A 14,102-nucleotide genomic window follows, 5' to 3' on the forward strand; every position below is an offset into this window, starting at 1 on the left:
TATCCAGGGAATGTCCCCCAGCTGTTCCAGTGTTAGACCCATACCCTGACAGCTCTTCCCTGTGCATCCCAGCCAGCACCTCCAGGCAGCACTCAGTCCTCACTTCATGGCTTCTCCCCAAGAGGGCCGTGGGCTTCTACAGGCACATTCCCGCCTGCCAGGCTGGTGGGTCAGACACTAAGCCCCCCAGCCTGACCTCCCTCCATACCCTGAGGCCTCCCTGTGACCTCCTCCCTCAGCCTCCAAAGGAGGGAAATGGCTGTGCACAGCCCAGGTGCACCCCTCCCACTGGCACCCATGGGCGAATCCTTTCCCTCACTGGTCTCAGGTTTCTCATCGACAAAACAAAGGGGCCAAACTGAAATGTGTCATCACTCCCTGTCCTCACAGTTAAGCCTGCATAGATCATTAGAGAGGAAGCCTAGTATGCTTCTAAGACTTGGCTTGTGGAATCAAACATACCTGCACACAACCCCAGCTCTTAACATTTGTTGGCTGTAGGACTTACACAAGTAACTTCATCATTGATCCAGTGTCTGTCTGCAAAATGGGACTCCTGTCCACTGTGTTAGTTCCTTCGAGATGCAGGCACCAAGATGGGATTAGGCATATAAGAGAATTATTGGGGGAAACACCTGTAAAATGTTCAGGAAGGAACTGAAGTAGGCAGAGGAAGCCCCAGACTGCAGTGCAGGCCTGACCCCCATGAAAGGAGAGGGAGAAGGAAAGAGAATTCAGTAGGAAGAGTCTTAGACTACAGTGTTGTTCTAAGAAAGTTTCTGCCAGCCAGTGGGAGTCCTTAAGCCATTAGAGGGGTTCCATGTCCAGCAGGAACAGGCCTGCACTAGTACCCCTGTCATGGTCAATCATGGCTGACCAGGGCATTTTCATGGCTGCAACCTCGAAGACTTGTAAAATCAGAGATGATGCATGTTAGGTCTTATCTTAGCATCTGCCATGGAGAAGGTACTCAATAAATGGCAGTGATCAAACAGTGATGATTATTCATCTTATTGTTTTTAAGATTTGCAATGCCTGCTCAAACAGGCCCGGGAAAGAGCAATTCAATAGTTGTTTGAAAGGTTGAATCCTCAGGGGACCTGCAGGGTTTCATTTCCATTTCTCATCACACAGCAGATCCTATCACCTGAAAGCATGCCCTTCCACAAATGTGAATACAGTACTCAGGGCTCCATCTGAAAATGGAGTGACCCCTCTTCTTCCTGTCACACATCTGACAAGCCATGGATGACTCCCCAGTGACATTCCTGGGAACCCAAGAGAGCTTAATTCCCAACTCTGTTTTAAAACTCAAGGAAATTGGGACTCCATGACCTCCTCCAGAGTCTTGATGGCTACTGCCTCAGGAGAAACAGAGCAGTTGAAGCTTTTCAACTAAATGGGAAAGGGAACAGTTAACATCTTGTGTTTGCATAGAGCTGCGCAGTTTACAAAACGCTTCTGCATATGTCATCTCTATACCCTCCGGTGTTCAGGACAATACAGGATAGTGGATATCAACTTGAAGATCATCAAGACCTGGACTCAAGTTGCAGTAATTAGTTGGGTGATCAAGATCAATACTATTAGCTTCTATGACCTTCAGTTACCTGTTCTGAAAATGGGAAGAGCAATAGTGCCTTCCTCAGGCAGTTATCATGTGGGCTAAATAAGCTTCAAAGTGCCTGGGTCAGTGCTGGGAATATAGTAGAGACCCTGTAAGTCTGACTTGTACTTTTCTTTCTTGGATGAAAGGTGAGACCACTGAAATAGTGAATGTTCTAACCCCTAGGTGGAGCTTTGTCCTTGAGCCACCCAATAGTCATATAACACAGTTTTTCTTTCTAGATCTCTCTTGTAGAGGATGTTGGGAGAACAAGAAGAGAACTGTCATTAATTAAGCATCCATTGTGTGTCAGGCATTGTGTTTGGCATTTTGCATCCATGATCTCTTTAATTCTCATTACAAGCCTATGAAGTTCATCTTAAGTGACTTTCCAGGTGGAATACATGGCAGAGTCACAATTTGAACCTAGGTCTTTCTGTAGCCAGGCTGGCTTTCAGTAAGTAAATGAAATGGTGTTTGAGAAGCACTGGAAACTCCCTGAGAGAAATATAATCAGGCCAGGAGCATGAACATGTGAGGGGAAGACAGCGTGGAGCAGAACTTTCTGTTCTGACTCCCAGGCCTTCCCGCAGGGCAGGATCTCTGCATCTGGCATTCTAACAACATGGGCTGTTAGAGCACTGGACTCGGGGGCGGAGGACTTGGATTCTGCAACCTCTACCAGCCCAGGTTAGCAGCATGGCCTTGAGCAAGTTCACCTCTCTAGGTTTCCATGCCCCACCTTCTAGAATAAGAATGTAGGCTGGGGGAAGGGGCTGATTTGTTTCAGCACCTACTGTGCACCAGGGACAATTTGAAGTGCTGGCAGATGTATGACTGCATTTAATCTTCCCAAGGAAGCTGACGCTGAGAGAGGTTAAGTAACTTACTCAAGTCATGCAAGTAATAGATTGTCACCTAGATTCTAATTCTAAATTCGATGTCCCTTTTGCCCTATTGACTAGGCCTAAGATGGCATCTGTCACTTTGATTCTGTTTGCTTATAACTGCTCAGTAGATCAGAGGCACAAATATCTTTCTACCTTAGAGAGGCGTGCAAACTATACAAATCTGACTCACAGATACACTTTTCCCCTGCCAGCCTGTGTTCTGTGTCTATGGCAGTGTTTTGTGGGGCATGATGGGATGTGCCCCTACAGGCTGATAACTGAAGAGCTGTTCTGTTTGTCCTGATTGCTCCCCTCCCTCTAGCTCTAACTCTACCAAAACTGAGCTGGAGCTGAGGAAACAGCACTTTTCCCACTTCCCAGATGGTTCCCTCTTTATGGCTTCTGTCACACCAGCTAGAACTCCTCCAGGTGTTTCACCATGCCAGCTGCAGGAGCAGAGTGAAAGGTAGTGACAATGAAGAACAGAGACACCAGAGAAGGGGACAGGGGACCCGGGATCTTGTCCCAGCTCTGCCACTCACATACCTGTGACCTGTGGCAAGGCGGCCAGCACTTTAGGCCACAGTTTTTCCTCTAGAATAAGGAGGCGGCCTGAATTAGCAAGTTTCAGGCTGAGCACCACAGCCCCCTCCTTGCCCCTTTCCTCTTCAACCATCTGAAGAAAGGGTTTTTTGGAAGGAAGGGAGGGAAAGAGGAAAGAGATCCACAATATTTGAAAAGTTCTGTACCAGCTAATCTCTCAAATCCCCGTTAGCCCTAACACTCAGAAATTCCTTCTATGTTTTAAAGATTTTTTAAAAAGGATCTAGAAGACTGAAAAGCAAATTAGAAGTCTTTTTGATCAAAGCAGATAAGATAAAGTAGAAACTTACCCTATCTCCTAACCTTGTACAGAGACCTTTCCAGGTTGAGAGGCCAGCAAGGCTGGCAGCTGGAAAGAAAGCTACAGAATTCCCCAGGCAGCCTACAGGGCCCTGGGCTCTGGGCTGTGAGGTCTCAGCCTATACAGGTGCCAGCTTGTGCAACTGCCCCACACCCTGGCATGAACCCACCCCTGATGCTGGCCAGACCCTCAGGCTGCTGCGAACAGAGCTGGCCCTCTGCCAACCCCCGGTGCTGGCCTCTCTGGACAGCCCAGCCTGGGACCCCGACTCCCCAGCACAGAGATGGTTGGCACCACCAGGATGTCAGATGTGGCTCTTGGCTTCAGCTCTCCTCATCCCCAGAGGCTCTGGTGATGATGAACCTGGGGCAGGATATACTCAGTCCTCACTTCATGGCTTCTCCCCAAGAGGCCTCTGTCACCCTTGTCCTTGTGTTACCCTTCTGCAGTGTGAATCTGGACAGGCCACCCCACCTCTCTGACCTCAGAAGCCTTCCCTGCTCACAAGCCACTCAATTCACACATGGTTAATCAACAATATCGAGACATAATTCTTCCTCCTGGGCCCTGGGAGTCTCAGGGATGAACAGACAGGGTCACATGTCACACTGTGCTCAGTCAAGCTGTGTGGAGCCCACCTCAGGCCATCTGTGCAGGTGGGCTTTTGCATCAATCTAAGGCAGGAATCAGCTGGTAAGAGCATAGACTGGCCAGGTGCAGTGGCTCACACCTGTAATCAATCCCAGCACTTTAGGAGGCTGAGGCAGGCGGATTACCTGAGGTCAGGAGTTCGAGACCAGCCTAACCAACATGGCAAAACCCTGTCTCTACTAAAAATACAAAAATTAGCCAGACATGGTGGCAGGCACCTGTAATATCCCAGCTTCTTGGGAGGCTGAGGCAGGAGAATCGCTTGATCCCAGGAGGCAGAGGTTGCAGTGAGCCAAGATTGCGCCACTGCACTCCAGCCTGGGCAACGGAGCTAGACTCCATCAAAAAAAAAAAAAAAAAGAAAAAAAAAAACCATAGACTTTGGAGTCCAGATGTCTGGGTTTGCTTTTGGGCCTATCACTTTACCTCTCTGAGCTTCAGTTTTCCTATCTGTAAAATGGGGATCCTAACAGTACTGACTTTATGGGGCTAAATAGAGGATTAAATGAATATTTCTATGTCCTTGGAACCATGCCTGGGACGTAAGTCCTATATAACTATTAACACAGGATTTTTTGATGATGATGATGATGATGATAGTACCAGAAAAGCTATTTTATCAGCATTCAAGACTTCTGCCCCGTGATTTTGCTCTGTGAACTTCTGCTGTAAAGGTCTTCTGTGGAATTAAGGCTCACTTTGTACAGTTCACCATGCCCTGCCCCTTTTCCCACCATACACTTACTCCAGCTGGGAACTCTCCTCATCAGTTCGGTGGTGCAACCCAGGCACCATCCTTGCTGCCTCCCTCTCCTCTCTGACTTGCACTCTCTCCATAGCTGTCCTGCTGACGGTGTGCTGCATGAAGAGGAAGAAGAAGACCGCCAACCCGGAGAACAACCTGAGCTACTGGAACAACACCATCACCATGGACTACTTCAACAGGCATGCTGTGGAGCTGCCCAGGGAGATCCAGTCCCTTGAAACCTCTGAGGTAATGAGCTTGAAAGTGCTGGCCCCACTGCAGGGAAACCAGGTCCAAAGAGAGCCATGGGGCATCTGCTCATTTCTGAGTGCCTTGCTCCTTAACGTATGGCCCATGGACCAGCAGTATCAATAACACCCAAGAGGTTGTAGGCCCTACCCTGGTCCTACTGAGCCAGGATCTGTGTTTTAGCAAGAATCCCCAGGTGCTTTCTGCACAGTAAATTTTGGAAGCACTGTTCCTGGGACTTTTGGTTTCTGGGAACAAGTGAACAAATACTCAGTGAGGACCTGTTTTGTGCCGAGCACTCCCAGGGCACTATGAAGATGAGAGCTTGCTCCTAAGGGGCTCAGGTTCTGAGATGTGGCTGGAGGACAAACCCCAACATCACCCAAAAACAAAGCCAATTAGGGGAAACACAAACACAGACGAGTTATAGACAAAGAGCTGTGGAAACCCAAGGAGGAAAGCCTTCCCAGTGCAGATGCTAGGAAGGATTAATGGATTTCAACAGGCATTCCAGCAGAGGAGGTAGCCTGAGGAAAGGTGAGGATACGTGCTGGATCTGAAGGGAAAGAAGAATACACTGTCAGCATATTTGCCCAAGACACCTGGCTGGTCAGTGAGTGAGCTGAGCTTTGAACCCAGGACTTTAACCACAGAATCCATACTCTTTCCATCCTCACACGGAGGGTGGCGTAGAGGCCAGAGTGAAACAGTAAAGAAGGATAAAGGCCCAATTAGACACAGCCTTAATGGGGTATTATGGCATTGGGACTCTAGTTTGGGGCAGCAGAGAGTCACTGAAAGTTTTGATCTTTGGGTGACCCAGTTTTAGAAGGATTATGCTGATGGCCTGGTGAAAGCACCCTATATGTGATCAGCGAATGGATAAGGAAAGAAAATAATGGCTTGATGGATGAGTAAATAGATGGAATGACACAGAAAGACAGACTAAAAATAGGTAGCTCAACTAGGATGCAATTGAGATGGCCCAGGAGAAAGATAACAGACATCTGAGTAAGGCAGTGAGAGCTGAGAAGAGTTCTTGTGGAGGTGCAACCCCACCCCTCCTTCCCGTGTGGGTCCCTTCCCCAGAGCAGCCAAGGTGAGCTTTTGTAAACATAACTGTGGTCACATCGCTCACATGCTTAAAACCTTCTCATTTCTCTCCAGTTAAAGTTCAAAGTCTTGTATAGGACCTGCAAGGTAGACCTAGACCCAGGCCAACTTTCCAGCCTCACATCACACCCCTCTCCCCATCTTTTGCTAAGCTCCAGCCACACTGGATTTCTTTTTGTTCCTTCACAGCACCAGGTTACATCACACCCACTCCAGGTGTGTGCATGGGCTGTCGCCTCTCCTACAACATCTTCAGGCTCTCCCCAGCACCCCCTTCACTTGCTCACCTCAGTGACTCCAACCCATCCTGCTGCAGGGCCCAGTCTAAATGTCACTTCCTCAGCGAGGCCTTCCTTAACCTGCCAGGCTGGGTTCAGCTCTCCTGTCACGTGGTCTTAGCTCCCTGTGCTTTTTCATTGTGACCCTTTTTAGAGCTGTGATATGCTACTGGTCTGATATTAGTTTAGTACCCCTCTCCCCTACTTGAGTAACCAGTTGCTTCCACATCGCTAAACCCAGCAGCCAATTCCGAGCACTCATCCTACTCCATCTGTGCAGCACTGGCACTGTCACATGGCAGCAGAGGCCCTGCCTTCTCAGGCTCTCCCCCAGCTCCCATTACTGATTCCCTGTCCTTTCCCCAACCTCTATTCACTGGAGCGCCCCATCTCGGTCCTGCCACCACTTCTCTTCTTTTTTTTTTTTTTGGTTGTTGTTTTGTTTTTGTTTTTTGAGATGAAGTCTCAACTCCGTTGCCCAGACTGGAGTGCAGTGGTGTGATCTCAGCTCACTGCAGCCTCTGCCTCCCAGGTTCAAGTGATTCTCCTGCCTCAGCCTCCCAAGTAGCTGGGACTACAAGCACACGCGACCACGCCCGGCTAATTTTTGTGTTTTTAGTAGAGACAGGGTTTCGCTATGTTGGCCAGGCTGGTCTCGACCTCCTCACCTCAAGTGACCCGCCCACCTCAGCCTCCCAAAGTGCTGGGATTATAGGCGTGAGCCACTGCCCCCAGTCACTTCTATTCTCTTTCTACTTAGTCCCATGACTTAAATACCATCTCTGCACTAGAGAGTCCAGATTTCTACCTGTAACCTTAATGTCTCCCCTGGCCCCAGACTCACCTACCCAGCTACCTGCTGCACATGTCTAATAGGCACCTCAAACTCAACACACCCAAGATTGAACCCTTGATTTCGCCCTCCCAACCCCAAAACCCAAACCTCACATGCAGCTCCTGATTACGTAGATGGTACTGCCAGCTGCCTTTCCTTCCTGCACACCCCACTTCTAGTCTGTCAGAAAATTTCATTGGTTCTCCCTAAGGACCAGCACCTCTCATTGCCTGCACCTCTGCCCCTGATCCAAGCCAGTCTCCTCCCTCGCACCATGAGTGCTGCAATGGCCTCTAAATTAGGACTCCCCACTACCATCTTGCCTTCTGCAGTCTGCCCTCTGCACAAGAGCCAGATGATCTTTTCAAGGCAGGATCCCATGTCCGCCACAGCTTCCACTTTCAAGTGGCTCTTCTCTACATTTTGAATAAAATCCAGACTCCCATTCTCATGCCCTTCACAAGTTGGCCCCTGCCCACCACCTGAGCCCCCACCACACTTCCCATTGATCACACACCAGCTTCAGTGGCCTCTTTGCTCTTCCTCCTGCACAGGAAGCTTGCCCCCACCTTAGAGCTTCGTTCTTGCACCCTATCTGAAATGCTTTTCTCCTGGATACCTTGAACCCTCAATTCCTTCAGGTCTCTGTTCAAATGCCACCTCCTCTGGGAGGCCCTCCCTCCCTTACCACTCTGTATTAATTAAATCTCCAACCTCATTCTGTTTCCTCTTCCTTACTTTACTTGTCTTCAGAGCTCTTCTCACCACTTGACATTGCATCATTGTCTCTCTGTTGATTGGTTTGTGGTCTGGCTGTCCTGCTGCCTGAGGCAGGAGCATTGTTTGTTGTGCTCACTGCTCTATTCCCAGCACCTGGAGCAGTGCCTGGCACATGGTAGGTTCTTAGTAAATGTTTATCATGTGAATGAACTATAAATGTTGTTCACCACAATTTACCCATCACCCAGTCAGAGCCTAACACACAGTAAATGCCCAAGAAAAATTTTTAAGCAGAGGACAAACGAGGGGCCAGCTTCACTGCAGCATTGACCTTTAGTGTGGCCTGTACACATTTTGCATGGAAAAGGTGTTCCTGAGATCTGTTGTAGTAAGTGGAAAAAAATATGTAACTTGACAAAGGGGCTGGTCCTACTTTAGGTATGGGCTGTGAACCCCTGAACTTTAAATTTCTCATATTCTCTTTGCAAATTGGTAAATGAAAACCAAAGCCAAAGGACAATACTCGTGAACGCACTATAGAAAAGGCCCTTGCTTTTAGAACATCCCAGTTAGTCATTTGGCACAGAGCACGAGGGCTGCCGTCCAACACAATCCAGAGGCTCTGGTAGAAAGGGCTGCCCCAGCCAGTCGTGATCTTCAGACCAGGAGGGCGCCATAGGACCTGCAGCACAAAGCTCAGCTTGGCTTCAGAGTGGATTGGATTTTGCTGTTTCCCTCCCAGCAAGCCGTTCCTCTTGTTCTGCTTTATTTAGAGTAATATTACAATTTGTTCCAATTCTCTGGGCTCACACTATATGAGGGTAAATGCAGGCAGCCTAGGGCCAGGATGAAGCCAGCCAAGCACACACACACTGCTGACCATCTCTAGAGCAATCATAAGGTCCCAGTTCATATTCCACCATGTTCCACATCCTCAGGACATGTACTCACCACCTGCCCTTTAGCTGCTAACTTTGGAGACTGCCAAATGGTTTGCCTAAGCAAGTTCCTCAGTTGCCCTGCCCCCACTGCTGTGTTGATGCAAGCAGCAAAACACAGATCCAGGGCTGTACAGACAAAATTGTGATGCCCAACAAGTGCTTGGAAACTTCCATTCTTTTTTCTTTTTCCCACCTCCTCCTCCTCCTTCTCCCTGTTTTCTCTTCTTCCTTCTTTTCTCCCTCCTTCTCTCCTCCCTTCTTTTTTCTTCTCCTTTGCTTTGGTTGTTTCCTGAATAACTCTCTCTTTAATGCAGCAAAACATACCCACATGGTTTTGCCTTTGGTGAAGACTTGCTTTGTGAAAGCTATAAAATGACAAGCCAAGCTCAGCCTCCACAGTTAAACCCAAAAGCATGGTGGAGGAAAGGGATTTTTGTCTCCTCTTTGAAGTGCTCCACTATTTTCCTTAGATGGCTGGCCCCATATCCACCCTTAGATAGGTGTTGAACTAATTCCAGACACTGAAGGAAATTCTTGTCTTCTGAAAAGACATTTTATCAACAATGGCATTTCTTCCTTACCTTATGATTCATACAGCAGTAAGTACTCCTCAGAAAGTATCTGTTATGTATGTTTTGTTTAAAAATAAACTTCAGAGAATTAATTGTGGCTAAGCAAATCTGGCATGAGCCAGTATACCTAGGCCTATAGTTGAGTCTTTGTCCTGAAATGGCTTGAAGGTTCCAAGACATTAGCTGTTTTAATTGGAAGAAGCTATGACTTTCTTTTTTTCTCTCTCTTAATTAGTACCAGGGCCCAAATCCAAGTACAGCCATTTAGTAGCCCGTAAATGTTTGCTTGTCCTTGGTAAGTGAAACCAAAACCCTGCCAAAGCCATACAGATTACCTTCTGGGCAGTGGATGGCCTATTTCTAGGCTTTTCTGCTCCTGCAACTGAACATACAGACTGAAATTTTCATCTGTCACTTATTATGCAGTCACACAGAGATGCAGATCCATTCAGCTCAGCATCACTAGTGCTATAAGAAATGGGGCAATAATTCTGACCAGGCTCTGGAAGGACTCAGAGCGGGAAGGAATTGGCCCTTGAAGCCTCTTGACAGGTCTGTTAGATCCTGACAGGTGGGTAGCAGGAAACAGGCGAGTGAGTCTAGGTGTATTCAGGAAGGAAAAGCAGAGAAGTTTCCCAGAAGTCTGTGAGAAAGAGGCAGGAAGTAGTCTGGGTGCAAGTGGACTGAGTTTTGCCACTAGTGCAGTGAGCCATGCACTGTATGTGTGTCATGCATGGCAAGTCCCCTCAGACTTTGACAAGGAAAGCAGTACCATCTCTGGCAACCTGGGATTGGGGTGATTCCAGAAGCAGGGAACATTTTTTGAAAGCTGCTATAAAAATATGAAAGAACAGCACAAAAATTAAAATATACACATACACACACACACACAAATTAATTAAAAGAATGGCATAGAGGGCTGTGCACCTCAGCATTAGCAGTAGGGATGATGAAAATGTGCACCAAGCCATCAGTGCTGAAATAAATGTTCCCATGTGTACATTTCTTTAAGAATGGCCACCTCTTAAGCCTTCTCCAGCTCACTCCATCTCCTCCCTCTCTCTTCCCAGGACCAGCTCTCAGAGCCCCGCTCCCCAGCCAATGGCGACTATAGAGACACTGGGATGGTCCTTGTTAACCCCTTCTGTCAAGAAACACTGTTTGTGGGAAACGATCAAGTATCTGAGATCTAACTACAGCAGGCATCACTTTGCCATTCCGTATTTTTCGTCTCTAAATTATAAATATACAAATACATATATTATAAATATAACCTTTGTGTAACCCTGACTTAATGAGAAACATTTTCAGCTTTTTTTCCTATGAATTGTCAACATCTTTTTTACAAGTGTGGTTTAAAAAAAAAAAAAACTTTACAGAATGATCTGTGGCTTTATAAAATAAAGGTATTTCTAAGCAAAGCAGTTGCATTGATTGCTTCTCTTAATAACTATTCTTGAGCACCTGGGGATCCCAGGAACCCTGGTCAGGTGAGGTAAGAGACTGACCTCCTGTAGAAGCTGAATGTTACAGTGCAAGCGCACGATTCTTTGAGTGATTCTTAAAGCTCTGGTTCCTCTTGATTTGGTGTGACCCCATTTCCTCCCTTCTCATACGCACACCTGTAAAGGGAACTGGACCGCCTCAGGGGAAGACGGCAGACTCATGCACAGAGAAGGAAAAGGGAACATCTCATCACCTCTGAGGATGAGTACCCTGGAGCCTTATGACGGCACCATTGGATGTCATGTTTAATTCCATCCAAGTTGTGGATGGCAGGCAGGAGCATGGAGCCCTCAGGAATCCATGGAGGACATCAAGGCATCCCAAGGCCATATTCCCCTAACATTACTTCCACTGCTAACAACAGGACTGCCTTTCCCTGGTGGGAAAATGCTCCCTTTATGCCCATTCCTGTATCCCCTCCAACACCCACATCTGCATTAAACACCCGTGCCTTTCTCTTGGAGAGGGTTTAGATGCAGATCCCGGCCCTGGAGCTTTAAAATGCTTGCCCTTCCTTCTTCAAGGATCAAATGTTTATTGGGGTTCAGCTTTGTTTTCTCAAAAGGCCATGGTATCGTGCCCCTGAGGAACATGTTTATCTAAGAAGCTTTGAGGTAGTAGAGCGATAATTTTTGAAACCTTCCTCCTGCAATCTTTAAAAAAGAAAAAAAAGATTGCCCAAACAAATCATTTGGGAGAAGACATCATTATACTCCTACTTGGCACTGCAAACCTGCTCGCAGCACCAGCCGGTGGACTTGCCATCCAGCTCTCAGCTTCCACTGCTCCCCTTGTTCCCGGCCGGCTGGCTGCCTCCCCGTGCTGTGTCCAGCACGGCCAACAACGTCAGACCCTCAGAGACGCCCAAGGGGCTTCCAGAGGTGGCCGCTTCTCTATTTTTTCCTGATTGTGGCTGAGAGAGATGATTACTGCTTTGACACTTCCTTTCTCTAAAAGAAAAATAGTTTGATAGTATATTTTGAATATAGATGCTCTTATAGTCAGATTGGGAATTGAACTTGAATATTGGGTCATATGTTTGTGTTGTTGCTGTAGTCTATCATGACTTTTTTCTTTCTGCATTTTCCTTAAAAAAAAAAAAAAGATGGCCTTCAAAAGTGTGTTCTCAATGTTGTATGAACCTCCTTCACATGAGTTCGGTTGTTGTCTCTCTTCAAAGACTCTTCAACCCACAAAGAAGCAACTAAATGTTTCTCTAAGTTTAATTTTCTAGCGTGTTGTTGTCTTACCTTTTTAACCTTACCATAATATTTCTGTTAACTGTTACATTTAATATACCAATGTGTGTAAGTATACAGAGAAAAATCTGTTTGTAAAGTAAAATTTATATATAATATATGTAATCAAAGATACATATGTTATATATACATATGTGGATGTATGACTTATTTTTCCTTATCCACAGATTTCAGCTACCATGTATATATAAATAAACTTATTTTATTAGCCAGAGGATTCTGTTGCTAATACATTTTGCATTCTTTTCAAGATAAGCTCTAAGTCTTCCTTAAGCAGTACCAACACCACTTTATATCCATCTGTATTTTTTAATCTGATTTAACAGTAAGTTGAGTTTTATGTATGTGATGAGCTAATAGGATTAGCAGTTTATCATTTGATAAAATAAATCTTTTTGAACATGTTTGCAGTTTCTCCAAAACAGACTCATCTTTCATCAGGTCTTTGGAGACAGTGGTGTCAAAGTACATCCCCCCCTCTTTCTCCCTGTCTCCAGGGCTGAGTGGATTTATATAGTAAATATCTTTGGTCCGGAGAAGTCTGAAGTTAACCTGGCCATTGAGTGTTACCATTCTGTAGAGAATAACAATGCCTAAACATGACACATTTGTGCACAACTTAATCAGTAGCCTGAACTTTTCATTCAGCCTTGGACAATACATCTTGGAATTCACAATAATGCAGATCCTCAGAACCAAGTCAGTGTCATCCGTATAGGAGGCTGTTACTGTAACACAGGCTCGCATGCCCCTTCTGGGTGCATCAGGGGTGGTGTTCACAGCATTAATGCTACATCTGAATAAACAAGGACACTACTGGCCTTTACTTAATCCAATTGGTTCTTTCATCTGTTCATCAAATAGCCAACACTGATATTTATAAAATACCTCCCAGGCCATCTCAGAGAGACAAAGTGGAAGACAATAAAGAAAGGAAGGGTTGGAGTGTCCTGGTCAGTAGGAAGGAAGTGCACACAGGGTCCTCTAGTAGGCGACCAGGTTTTTTACCTCTACCTGCGTGACCTCAGGTAGGTACTCTGCTCTCTGGGTGGTGGGCAACAGGGAGGCTCCTAAGTAAGTCAGTGGCCCAGAGTTTGGAAGAGGTTGTCTGCCCCCAGCTCTGCTACTTTCTGGACATAGAACCTTGGGCAAGTCATTGCAGCTCTCGGGGTCCTCCTCACATAAGAGGACAGTGGCCAACTGTAGGACATGTCATTTTAGAGCTGTGAGGTACACAGCCCATATGGCAGTACCTGTCAACCCTGGACCTCCTTCCTCCTGAGGTTGAGTTGAGAATTCCACGAAATAAACCATAGGATTCATGCACACACCAGGCTGGATCTGCTACTCACTAGAGATTGACTCCCTTCTCCTTCTCTCACCTGAGGTACATTCCTACATTACAGCATCTGGAAAAGTATCCAGCTCTGGGGTTTGGTGACCTGGTTTCTCCAGGGTAAAACTTATGTACAGAGGTTTTTAGGTCCATGTTGTCATCCTGTAACTGGGGGAACCTTTCTGATCCTAGAGAAGTGATTGAGGTGTGACCCTTGGTGGCTTAGTGGATGCCAAGGTCAATAATTAAAACCCAGGGGTGTCATCATATCCTAACTTGGGGCACCCTTGGAGAGGCTTACCAGAAAACACCCTCGTTGTTGTTTTTATTTCTCAGTTTTCCAACAGATGGAGAAGCAGAGGTGTAGGGAATGGCCGGAACATGTGTGGGATCTGAATTTGCCCAAGGTCCTTATCTGGTGCATCAGAGAGTTAAAGGCCCAAGCCAATGTTCAGACAGTGAGGTCCAGAGGGAGGAAGCATCCTGGCCAACAGCAA

The 14,102-nt window shown here is 46.7% G+C and overlaps 1 protein-coding gene across 3 annotated transcripts in view; it reads left to right on the plus strand.

Moving 5' to 3' along the window:
• TMEM108 (transmembrane protein 108) overlaps positions 1-12,486 on the plus strand; it is a 359,385-nt gene extending 346,899 nt beyond the window's left edge. For all 3 annotated transcript variants that reach the window (NM_023943.4, NM_001136469.3, NM_001282865.2), the window contains 2 exons: positions 4,891-5,045; positions 10,575-12,486. In NM_023943.4, coding sequence (NP_076432.1) covers positions 4,891-5,045; positions 10,575-10,697 — 278 coding nt within the window. In that variant the 3' untranslated portion in view covers positions 10,698-12,486. The remainder of the gene's footprint in view (positions 1-4,890; positions 5,046-10,574) is intronic.

The sequence above is a fragment of the Homo sapiens genome, chromosome 3 (genome assembly GCF_000001405.40).
Source record: "Homo sapiens chromosome 3, GRCh38.p14 Primary Assembly".
Classification (NCBI taxonomy): domain Eukaryota; kingdom Metazoa; phylum Chordata; class Mammalia; order Primates; family Hominidae; genus Homo; species Homo sapiens.